General features: G+C 42.0%; 2 protein-coding genes across 6 annotated transcripts in view; both read right to left on the bottom strand.

Moving 5' to 3' along the window:
- Positions 1-13,069, bottom strand: part of RANBP2 (RAN binding protein 2) — a 1,122,820-nt gene that overhangs the window by 19,718 nt on the left and 1,090,033 nt on the right. The gene's annotated exons all lie outside the window — the stretch shown is intronic.
- The window catches only part of RGPD5 (RANBP2 like and GRIP domain containing 5), a 97,088-nt gene that overhangs the window by 35,122 nt on the left and 48,897 nt on the right, over positions 1-13,069 (bottom strand). For all 5 annotated transcript variants that reach the window (XM_006712794.5, XM_047445980.1, XM_017005081.3 and 2 more), the window contains 3 exons: positions 8,929-9,124; positions 2,801-2,888; positions 470-679 (listed from right to left, as the gene is read on the bottom strand). In XM_006712794.5, coding sequence (XP_006712857.2) covers positions 470-679; positions 2,801-2,888; positions 8,929-9,124 — 494 coding nt within the window. The remainder of the gene's footprint in view (positions 1-469; positions 680-2,800; positions 2,889-8,928; positions 9,125-13,069) is intronic.

Genomic DNA, 13,069 nt, shown 5'->3' with positions numbered 1-13,069 from the left:
CTGGTCGCAGTGGCTCACACCTGTAATCCCAGCACTTTGGGAGGCCAAGGCAGGTGGATCACCTGAGGTCAGGAGTTTGAGACCAGCCTGACCAACATGATGAAACCCCGTCTCTACTAAAAATACAAAAAATTAGCCGGGCGTGGTGGCGGGCATTTGTAATCCCGCTACTTGGGAGACTGAGGCAGCAGAATCACTTGAACCAGGGAGGCAGAGGTTACAGTGAGCCGAGATCGCACCACTGCACTCCAGCATGGGCGCCAAGAGCAAAACTTGGTCTCAAAAACAACAACAACAACAACAAAAAATACATGCCACCCCCACAGCACCACATTCAAACTCCCCCCAGCCCAACCCACACACAAAAGGAATACAGGAAAATATTAAGTCGTTATTTCTGGGTAATAAGATTATGGGCAATTTATAAGAATTAAGACGGAGACCATTTCCTCTGAAACATATAACTTACCAACATCGTATCTAGCCAAATCTTCAAGCTCTGGTTCTTGTACATCAATTTTTCCAATATCATCGCTACCAAGAAAAGATGTATCCTTAGGTGACTGACTAGAAAACAGAGCATCATATAACGCAGACTGCCCAATTTTGTTGGCAAAAGTTTCAACAACCTCTTTTAAGAAATCTTGCTTGCCACGACTTAAGCTTAGCAACATGTGCCCTGAAAAAAAAATTTAAGTTATTTCCATCACTTTAAAAATACAGATTGTATTTGCTCACGTTGTCTCATTTGTATACCCAAAGGGGAAATAACATGATTATTGCAAACCTAACCCTCCAACCCAAAAAATACAGCTGGACAACAAAATGGGTGCTTATGTAGCAAATGAAAAGAGTACAGGTTTAATATTCTCAGTATCTACATAAGACAGCAGAACGGGGAAAAAAGACAGGAATGTGTATGAAAAATGCCAAACATATTTGCACTTTAGATGAAAAGGTCTGGATTTAAGTGGCCATAGGAGAACAGGGACAAGCTCTTATTCTCTGATCTGATACACTGATTTCTGAACCTGGCTGATCAGAATCCTCCTTTAAACAGCTTTTAAGAATTATTTCCAGCTGGGCACGGTGGCTCATGCCTGTAATCCCAGCACTTTGGGAGGCCAAGCTGGGTGGATAATGAGGTCAGGAGATCAAGACCATCCTGGCTAACACAGTGAAACCCCATCTCTACTAAAAATACAAAAAAAAAAAAAAAAATTAGCCGGCCCTGGTGGCGGGTGCCTGTAGTCCCAGCTACTGGGGAGGCTGAGGGAGGAGAATGGCGTGAACCCGGGAGGCGGAGCTTGCAGTGAGCCGAGATCACGCCACTGCACTCCAGCCTGGGCGACAGAGTAAGACTGTCTCAGGAAAAAAAAAAAAAAAAAAGAATTATTTCCAGGCCTTGTTCCCAGAGATTTTTATGCCATAGGTTTACAGTAAGCAATCAAAAAATCATAGTCCTCGGATAAAGTACTGATACATGCTACAACACAGATGAACCTTGAAAACCTTGCTAAATCAAAGAAGCCAGTCACAAAAGACCACATACTATGATTCCATTTATGTGAAATGTTCAGAAGAGGCAAACCTACAGAGACAGATTAGCGGTTGCCAAGGCTGAGAGGTTTGGGTAAAATGGGGAGTAACTGCTAATAGGTAAGGAATTCCTCACGGAGTGATGAAAATCTTCTAAAACTGACTGTGGTGACAGTGGTAATACTCTATGAACATAGTAAAAGCCACTGAACTGTACACTTTAAATGGGTGAAGCGTATGGTATACGAATTATATTTCAATTGAACTTTTTTTAAAAACCCTCCTTCGAGTTAATTCTGCTGGGCAATTAGGTTTGGTTACCACTACACAGTTGTGTCTCAGCACACTTACAGAGGCACCCTCGGAATGCCCAGATCAAAGACATAAAAAAAAGATACAGGCAATTTTTATCTAACTGTGACACCATGCAAAGGCACTTATGAGAGCCCTGCAAGGGTAGAAGGAAAAGAGAAAAGGGAAAAAGTAGAAAGTCACTTTAAGGACTGAAAGCCTAACTCCCACAAAAAAAGTGGGCTATGGAATAAAAGAGCAATGTGAGCTCTGGCCAACAGCCTAACTATACACCAAAGCTTATAATAACTTTGATTTAATATTACATCTTGCTCTTTACAAAATTCATCCAATTTTATATCAAAACTGCTCCTTATAGAAAGCATTATGTTTCTTCAGTTCACTGCTTGATTCAATGGCCATCTAACTACCTTAAAGTTTGTATCTTAGCAAAATCACAGGTAATATGCAACAGACCTTTAGGATTCATCCCAAGCCAAAAATGGGGGAAAAAATCCACAAATTCCAAGAGCCTAATATAAGGTAAGTATATATCTTCTATCTTCCTCACTATGCTCTCAGCTCTTTAAGACAGATCCGTATCTTCTTCATCTTTATATCCCCACAGCAGTGTTTTTAGAATCAGCTGGTGTTAAATGGTTGGCAAATCAATAATTATACTTAGTTCAGGAAGTGACTAAATATTCAGGATAGAGGCTCTAGCAGCCAGATGAAGAAAGAGTTAAGAAATCCTCTCCACATAGGAACAAACAATATCAAATATTCATTTTTTTAAAAGAATGTGCTATTTCTTCGCATCTCTTCCATACCTATTGCTCTTAACTGATACGGCAAAAAGAAATAATTTTGACAAATTATCTCCTGGACAGATGAAGATTTTATCATAAGATATGCCTTAACAGAAATTCCTTTTTCTTTTTAAATTAAATTAGTTTAATATTACTATTACCTGATTGGCTCAGTCGGTCACAGGCCATCATTTCCAGCAGATTTTGTCCAGCTTTACCTTCTCTTAATTTAATCTTTGGTCTTGGAACCTAATAATTTTAGAATCAAAAATCTTAATTTGATGATACCCATACTTCTAATAGTAACATGGTCTTATCTATTACACTGTACTTTTTTTGATAATGAATAAACAGTTAACCATTAATTAAACTGAATTGGAAAAGACTGCAAAAACTGGGAACCAAGGAATTTATATAACCTATGAAAGATAGGCCAGGTACAGGCGTGGTGGCTCACACCTGTAATCCCAACACTCTGGGAGGCCAAGGTGGGCTGATCACTTGAGGTCAGGAGTTCGAGACCAGCCTGGCCAACATGGTGAAACCCAGTCTCTACTAAAAATAATAAAAAAAAAAACAAAGAGCCAGGCGTGGTGGCACACACCTATTAATTCCAGCTACACGGGAGGCTGAGGCACAAGGATAGCTTGAACCTGGGAGGCAGAGGTTGTAGTGCGCCGAGACTGCGCCATTGCACTCCAGCCTGGGTGAAAGAGCGAGACTCCATCGCAAAAAAAAAAAAAAAAAAGAGGGGCCAGACATGTTGGTTCACACCTGTAATCCCAGCACTTTGGGAGGCCGAGGTGGGGGGATCACTTGAGCCCAGAGTTCAAGACCAGCCTGAACAACACGGTGAGACCCTATCTCTAAAAAAAGTTTTTTTTTAATTAGCCAGGCGTGGTGGCACACACCTGTGGTCCCAGCTACTCAGGAGGCTGAGGCAGGAGGATCACTTAAATCCAGGAGGTCAAGGCTGCAGTGAGCCATGATCATGCCACTGTGCTCCAGCTTGGGCGACAGTGTGAGACCCTATCTCCAAAAAAAGAAAAAAAAAAAAAAAGCATACACAGAGCAGCTCTGAGAAATTAGTTTCTACTAAAAGCACATTCATGTTACATTCAGAGAAATGGAAAATTTAATTACATTACTTTTCTACCCTGCATAAATAGGACAACAGCAGATGTTGTCCTATTTGAGTAGATATGACACCCTACTTTAAAAAGCACAGGTGAAATGACACTTGGAAATGCCACATTGTAGATAACACATTTTCAGAGTATGGATAATAGGGGATAGCACTAGAATAAATGGGACAACCAGGAAATTAAAGAGATCCTCATGCAATAACCTATGGAAGAAAAAAAAAGCATGATGAATAGAATGGCGAAGGGAAGACGTGACAGCTGCCTTCAAATATTAAAATTATTTTATAAAAGAAATCATCAAAAGAAGAAACAAGACCAACAGGTAGAAGGCTTGAAGAATATTTTTATTCTATATAAGGAAGTACCAAGAGCCAAACCACCTAAAGATGCACTGGGCTATCTTGAAAAGTAATGAATGTCCATCACTGAAAACGTCCAGTCATAGGCAATGCCCGCTTACTAGAAACATGCCAAAAGTAACTATATGGGTGACTAGAGCATCGGCTTTTAATTCTATCACCACTTTCTTAATTGGTGGTGGAAATGTAATTTGATACAACCTCTTTAGGGTTAGATATTTGGCAACAGCTCTAAAAATTATAAATGCACAGATATACTTTGATACTGCAATTCTTTCAGGAATTCATGGCACAAGTTAATCATTGCTAAATTACTTGAAGTAGCATTTAAAACAAAAGTAAAAGCAAGCTAATGTCCTGGTTTTAGGACCCTGGTTTTAAAAACTCCAAAACTACAGTACATCCATACAATGGAATAATATGCAAGCATCCAAACTAATGAGAATGCCCTTTATATATACTGACATGGAAACATCTCCAAGATACAGTTAATGGAAATAAAGTAAATGCAATGTTCAAATGTTTTCCTCCTTCTTTTAAAGACAGGGGATATATGTGTGTTTACTTGGAGATGCATAAAACATTTCCTGAAGAACACACAAGAAAGCAATAACATTAGTTTCTTTGGGGGTGGAGAAAGTAAATAACTAGGGAACAGAAAGGAGTCTTCATAGCATATTCTTAAGAGCCGCCAGAATTTTAAACCATGTATATATAATTCTTTCCAAACATGCTCATTTTTCAAAATATATGATTTATGAACCTAAAAGCTTCTGATTTTGAATTTTAGAAATATTCGTATCGCCTATCCTTTTACTCACAAGTTTTCTAAACATCATGTCAAAGTTTGTCATCTATATGTTGAAAAGAGCACACAAAGTAAGAAACAAAATGTTGACATCATTCTTTTTGTTTTCAAACTGACCTCAATTCATAAACCCGGCCTCTTTTACAAAATTATTCAACAGTTGAATCTGTGACCAGTTAATTAGTTGTGAATCCACTCAATCAAATCATCTCAATTCACTATTTCCTTTTTTTTTTTTTTTGAGATGGAGTCTCGCTCTGTCGCCAGGCTGGAGTGCTGCAGTGGCACGATCTCGGCTCACTGCAACCTCCGCCTCCTGGTTTCAAGCAATTCTCCTGTCTCGGCCTCTCAAGTAGCTGGGACTACAGGCACCCGCCACCATGCGTGGCTAATTTTTGTATTGTTACTAGAGATGGGGTTTGACCATGTTGGTCAGGATGGTCTCAAACTCCTGACCTTAAGCGATCCGCCCGCCTCAGCCTCCCAAAGTGCTAAGATTATAGGTGTGAGCCACCACGCCTGGCTATTTCCTCATCTTAACTAAAAGGTTTCAAGATACTTTGTTAACTACCTAGCTGCAATGCAGATGCACTTACTAGAACCACAGTATTCCTCTGATTAAGAGTCTGAAAATCTTGCCATAAAAGTTAGCCAATTCTTAAATACCCAAATGCCAGCACATAACCTACATTTTATGCTTATAATCATTTGTTCATTAAGCTTTAAAATAAACTGATCAAATAAAATACAAGCATCTAAGATGTTTCTATTATATATTCATTCTACAGAAATATGTGGTAGTTAATAAAGACTGAGGTAGGTATCTCTGTGCTGAAGTGGAACAATGAAGAAACATTTAGAAAAGCAAGGCATCTGGCAATAGGTAAAGCACACCCACACTGAGGCACAATATTTTTTAAAAGCAGAGAAAGAATGTATTGCACATTTGCATATGCAAAAAATATTTCTGAACACCCAAGAAACTCCTAACAGTAGCTGTCATCTAGGAAAGGAGACCTGAGTGAATGGATTAAGAGGGAAACTAACTTATTATGATTAAAAGTTCACAGTCAGGTGTGGTGGCTCATACCTGTAATCTCAGCACTTTGGGAGGGCAAGGCAGAAGGATCACTTGAAGCCAGGAGTTCAAGACCAACCAGCCTGGCAAACATAGCAAGACCTTGTCTTTACAAAAAATTTAACAATGTAGCCAGGCATGGTGGCAGGCACCTGTAGTCCCAGCTACTGAGCTGAGGCTGAAGCAGGAGAGGATCACTTGAGCCCAGGAGTTCGAGGATGCAGTGAGTTATGATCATGCCACTGCACTCCAGCCAGAGCAAGAGTGAGACTCTGCCTCCCAAAACTACATATCAAAAAATTGTAGGCTGTGCGCAGTAGCTCACACCTATAATCCCAGCACTCTGGGAAGCTCGAGCCCAGTTCAATGTTACGGTGAGCTACGATTACGCAACTGCACTCCAGCCTGGGTGACACAGCAAGACTCTAATAGACACACAGACAGATAAATTTTAAAGTTTCCATTAAAAATAAGAACTATTGGCAGGGTGCGGTGGCTCACACCTGTAATGCCAGCACTTTGGGAGGCCAAGGTGGGCGGATCATGAGGTCAGGAGATCGAGACCATCCTGGCTAACACGGTGAAACCCCATCTCTACTGAAAATACAAAAAAATTAGCCAGGCGTGGTGGTGGGTGCCTGTAGTCCCAGCTACTCGGGAGGCTGAGGCAGGAGAATGGCGTGAACCCAGGAGGCGGAGCTTGCAGTGAGCCGAGGTCGTGCCACTGTGCTCCAGCCTGGGCGACAGAGTGAGACTCCATCTCAAAAAAAAATAAAATAAATAAAAATAAGAACTATCAGTTACTTGAGAATTTCTATAAGAACCTTTTAATGTTTGTATTACCTAGTGAACCTCACTAAATCCATTAATTTTCACTAATCCATTCCTTATGAACACAGAAGTTTCTACTGAGCAAATATTAGCACTTAACATGTGAACTGTCTATCAACGGTGTTTTTAAAAGATTTACAGGCCGGGCTCAATGGCTCATGCCTGTAATCCCAGCACTTTGAGAGGCCGAGTCGGGTGGATCACGAGGTCAGAAGATCGAGACCATCCTGGCTAACATGGTGAAACCCCATCTCTATTAAAAAATACAAAAAATTAGCCAGGCATGGTGGTGTGTGCCTGTAATCCCAGATACGTGACAGGCTGAAGCAAGAGAATCACTTGAACCCAGGAGACACAGGTTGCAGTGAGCTGAGATTGCGCCACTGCACTCCAGCCTTGTGACAGAGCGAGACTCCGTCTCAAATAAAAATAAAAAGATTTATATTAGGCAGGGCATGCTGGCTCACTGCCTGTAATCCCAGCACTTTGAGAGGCCGAGACGCGCAGATCACCTGAGTTCAGGAGCTCAAGACCAGCCTGACCAACATAGAGAAACTTCGTCTCTACTAAAAATACAAAATTAGATGGGCGTGGTGGCATGTGCCTGTAATCCCAGCTACTCGGGAGGCTGAAGCAGGACAATCGCTTGAACCCGGGAGGCGGAGGTTGCAGTGAGCCAGATGGCGCCATTGCACTCCAGCCTGGGCAACAAGAGCAAAACTCCGTCTCAAAAAGAAAAAAAGATTTATATTAGAAGGAGGGGCCTTCTCTAAAAGTAATGAATCTTTTTTCTCCCTCCCCAAGCAAAAAATCCTTCTCTAAAATTAATCATCTTTCTAAGCCTGGTTTAATGTTTTTTTGGAAGACTGCTTATTTCTTTTCCTTTCGAAAGTTATGCAAGCTCATTAAAAAAAAAAAAAAAAAAAAAGGCCAGGCATGGTGGCTCATGTCTGTAAATCCCAGCACTTTGGGAGGCCGAGGCAGGTGGATGACTAGGTCAGGAGATTGAGACCATCCTGGCTACCACGGTGAAACCCCGTCTCTACTAAAAGTACAAAAAAAAATTAGCCAGGCATGGTGGCGGGTGCCTGTAGTCCCAGCTACTCAGGAGGCTGAGGCAGGAAAATGGCGTGAACTCGGGAGGTGGAGCTTGCAGTGAGCCGAGATCGTGCCACTGCACTCCAGCCTGGGCGACAGAGCGAGACTGCGTCTCAAAAAAAAAAAAAAAAAAAAAAAAAAGCCAGGCGCGCCAGGCGCAGTGCCTCGCGCCTGTAATCCCAGCACTTTGGGAGACCAAGGCAGGTAGATCAAGAGGTCAAGAGATTGCGACCATCCTGGCCAACATGGTGAAACCCCATCTCTATTAAAAATACAAAAAATTAGCTGGGCTTGGTAGCATGGGCCTGTAGTCCCAGCTACTCGGGAGGCTGAGGCAGGAGAATCACTCGAACCCAGGAGGTGGAGGCTGCAGTGAGCCGAGATCACGCCACTGCACTCCAGCCTGGCGACAGAGAGAGACTTGGTCTCAAAAAAAATAAAAAAATAAAAAATAAGAAAAGGTTTTATGTTTTCAAAGATTAATAGATATACTGTTACATATACACAATACAGTCATAAATGTTATATACATGTGTTTCAATTAACATGTTAAATTGCAATCATATTCTTCTATCATAGGCTATAAAGCCATTGCCCTACGTCTACTTATTAGGATTTTGTCCAAGTAACACATCTTTTTGAATCAAGCTTTACCCATAATACGAGATTACATCTTTATCATGTTCCCAAAAATGGCAGAGTAAAAAGATCAAACTCTTCAAATTTGTCTACAAACAAATCATGGCAATGCAGGCTTTCGACAAGAGTGCATTCAACATCCCTGTTTCACCAGCCTCACCAGTATTGTGTATGCTTAGTTATTTTCCACTGTATCAAATTGACTATTTCATTTTAACTTTAATTCCACAGGTTTGTTCACATATTGTCATTACATACCAGAGCACACCTTCATTTAAAACACATCAAGACTCCGTGAAATGTCAATTGCTCCTACAAGTGGAAGACTTACCTGAAATGCTATGAGATAGCACAATGCAGCCAGCTCAGAAAGAGCTCGCCATTGAACATTATTACCATGCTGACCCATCTTCAAGAGCAGAGAACCAGCATACATATAGAAATGTCCTTTCATTTCTAAGAAAGTAGCTGACAGTTCATCATTTCCACCCAAAGAAGATTTCGCAGACTGAAGAGCACTATCAAAACTGTAATATGAAAATATCAAACAGATGATACACACTTACTGCACTGTGAATAATCATGGTTGATTTAATTCAAAACAAAATAAAAATTTTATTTCAAGCTTCATCTTCCACATTCAACTTCTAATAATTCTTATTCCCCATGTTATAAATTATGAATCATCTAATGCTTATTTTTATCCTGCATACTTCCTATACTTCATGCTTAACCTCTCAAATGATGTCTTATTCCCAGTTATTTCCAGCCCTCCAATCACAGAATAAATATAAGATTAGTGATTATAGGTGCACATTTCAAAATAAACCAGGATAAAGTTGGGAGACTATTTTGTAGTTTCTTCCTGATCATATAATTTCATTATTTAATTAACAGTTGTAATTTCTCAAATTAGACATACCATTTCCAAATTATAAGTAAATAACTGACAGGTATTTGAGTATCAATACAGCAATTGCTCTTTTTACTATATAGATCATTACAGCGTTAAATAAATTGTCTTTTTTTTTTTTTTTTGAGACGGAGTCTCTCACTATCGCCTGGGCTGGAGTGCAATGGCACGATCTAAGCTCACTGCAACCTCCACCTCCCAGGTTCAAGTGATTCTCCCGACTCAGCCTCCTGAGTAGCTGGGATTACAGGCACCTGCCACCATGCCCCGCTAAACTTTTTTTATATTTTTAGTAGAGACAGGGTTTCACTATGTTGGCCAGGCTGGTCTCGAACTCCTGACCTCACGATCCGCCCGCCTCAGTTTACCAATGTGCTGGGATTACAGGCATGAGCCACTATGTCTGGCCTACTATTTGTAATCTATATTCTAAATTAGTTCTTCTAAATCCTAATGTTTCTCCAAATCCTCACTTTGGAAGAAAAGTAAAAGCAAAAAGCAAACACTTAAACGTGAAGCATGATTTTAAAGTGGCTTACAATAAAGCAACCAGAGCAAGTGAGGTCTAAAGATCTCTGAGGGTGCTCAAAAACCCCTTCAGGGGATCCATGAAGTTAAAATTACTTTTACAATAATACCAAAAAAAATTTATATATTACATACTCATTTTCTCATGTATGTAGAGCTGACTTTTTTTGTTTTTGTTTTTGGAGACAGAATCTCACTCTGTCACAAGGCTGGAGTGCAGTGGCACAATCTTGGCTTACTGCAACCTCTGACTCCCAGGTTCAAGCGATTCTTCTGCCTCAGCCTCCCGAGCAGCTGGGACTATAGGCGTGTACCAACATGCCCGGCTAATTTTTTGTATTTTTAGTAGAGACAAGGTTTCACCATTGTTAGCTGGGATGGTCTCGATCTCCTGACTTCGTGATCCACCCGCCTCGGCCTCCCAAAGTGCTGGGATTACAGGCCTGAGCCACCGCGCCCCGCTGAGCTGAGTTTTCTAGAGGCTTCATGACATGTAATAGTTTTACAGACTGAAAGAGGAAGTAAATGAGAATCTAGCTATGTTCTATTAAGCGAGACATTAAAAAGATTTACAAAAATGCAAAAACAATGACACTTTTCTGACTACTTTTTTGCTGTTGGGAAATAGTTATTTTTCATAAAAAATGCTATTATTGGCCCTGCGCGGTGGCTCACACATGTAATTCCAGCACTTTGGGAGGCCGAGGCGGGTGGATCACCTGAGGTCAGGAGTTCAAGACCAGCCTAGCCAACATGGTGAAACCCCATCTCTACTAAAAATACAAAAAATTAGCCAGGCGTGGTGGTGGGCACCTGTAATTCCAGCTACTTGGGAGGCTGAGGCAGGAGAATCGCTTGAACCTGGGAAGCAGAGGTTGCAGTGATCCGAGATCACACTGTTGCACTCTAGCCTGGGCAACAAGAGCAAAACTCCGTCTCAAAAAAAAAAAAAAAAAAGCTATTATTATTAACACACAATAGGGCTTATTACATTTTTAATGGATTACATTTTTTGTTTTAATTTCTAATGTAATAAACACTGACAGAAATAACCCACATACGGCCGGATGCAGTGGCTCAGACCTGCAATCCCAGCACTTTGGAAGGCCAAGGCAGGCGGATCACGAGGTCAAGAGATTGAGACCTTCCAGTACTTTGGGAGGCCAAGGTAGACGGATCAAGAGGTCAAGAGACCGAGACCAGCCGGGCGTGGTGGCTCATGCCTGTAATCCCAGCACTTTGGGAGGCTGAGGCAGGCGGATCACAAGGTCAGGATATCAAGACCATCCTGGCTAACACGGTGAAACCCCATCTCTACTAAAAATACAAAAAATTAGCTGGGTGTGGTGGCGGGCACCTGTAGGCCCAGCTACTCGGGAGGCTGAGGCAGGAGAATGGCATGAACCCTGGAGACAGAGCTTGCAGTGAGCCGAGATGGCGCCACTGCACTCCAGCCTGGGCAACAGAGCGAGACTCCATCTCAAAAAAAAAAAAAGATCGAGACCATCCTGGCCAACATGATGAAACCCTGTTTCTACTAAAAATACAAAAACTAGCCAGGTGTGGGCTGGGCGCGGTGGCTCACGCCTGTAATCCCAACACTTCGGGAGGCCGAGGAGGGCAGATCACGAGGTCAGGAGATCGAGACCATCCTGGCTAACACGGTGACACTCCGTCTCTACTAAAAATACAAAAAAAATTAGCCGAGCGTGGTGGTGGGCGCCTGTAGGTAGTCCCAGCTACTCAGGAGGCTGAGGCAGAAGAATGGCGTGAACCTGGGAGGTTCACAAGGCGGGTAACAAAGGGCCCATGAGGCCTGATTAACTGATCTGACAAACCATCTGTCACCCACAGCCCTAAGCCACACTGTGAAACTGCCTAGGGTGGCACCAGCTTTTTATCTTCCTCAGGGTCCTCCCCTCAGGCCCCCAAGTCACCCCATCATGGTCCAGATTCTCCCCTGAGTGACTCCATCCCCATGGTCATTTCCCCTCCTGAGCCTCCCCCTCTGAGGGCCAAGGGCTGTCCTCAGGGCCCTCCTGGGGCTTCCTGGTGGGGAACAACCTGAGGCAGGAGGATAAGCTCTTATTCAGAGCATTGAGAGGAAATTGTGAAGCTTGCAGTGAGCCGAGATTGTGCCACTGTACTCCAGGCTGGGTGACAGAGCAAGACTCTGTCTCAAAAAAAAAAAAAAAAAATTAGCCAGGTGTGGTGTCGGGCACATGTAGTCCCACCTATTCAGGAGGCAGAGACAAGAGAATCACTTGAACCCAGGAGGCAGAGGTTGCAGTGAGCCGAGACTGCACCACTGCATGCCAACCTGGCGAGAGCAAGACTCAGTCTCAAAAAAAAAAAAGAGAGATTGAGACCATCCTGAACCCCGTCTCTACTAAAAATACAAAAATTAGCTGGGCGTAGTGGTGTGTGCCCGTGGTCCCAGCTACTTGGGAGGCTGAGGCAGGAGAATCGCCTGAACCCGGGAGGCGGAGGTTACAGTGAGCCAAGGTCGTGCCACTGCACTCCAGCCTGGTGACAGAGCAAGACTCCATCTCAAAAAAAAAAAAAAAAAAAAAAAGAAAGAAAGAAAAAAAGGAACCCACATACAAAGATCTTTGATGTCCTTAAGAAAAATGTAAAAGGAACTTGTGACCAAAAAATTTGAGTATACAAAGAACACAAAATAAAACATCCTACATGTTTTCTAAAATAAAGTTATGTTAGTTCTTTTAGGTACTGCTCTTACCCTACCAATTTAGGACACTATGTACTTTTTCAAGAAAATTACCTACTCCCTGCACTCAGTGAAATGAACTTCTTTCCTTATACCAGATGGGGAAATAAATTAACTTCCAAACAAATGGACAGCCTAAATTAGCAATCAGTAAACTTTTTCTACAAAAGGAGGAGATTACTAATCTGGCTTTACAGGCATACAATCTCTGCTGCAACCACTCAACTCCAACCCTGTAGTATGTAAGCAGCCACAGACAATACATAAACAGAGGCAAGCTGCATTCCAATAAATATTAAC

Source organism: Homo sapiens, chromosome 2 (assembly GCF_000001405.40).
Source record: "Homo sapiens chromosome 2, GRCh38.p14 Primary Assembly".
Classification (NCBI taxonomy): domain Eukaryota; kingdom Metazoa; phylum Chordata; class Mammalia; order Primates; family Hominidae; genus Homo; species Homo sapiens.
The sequence above is the reverse complement of the archived record's forward strand: the minus strand, read 5'-3'. Positions and strand labels throughout refer to the sequence as shown.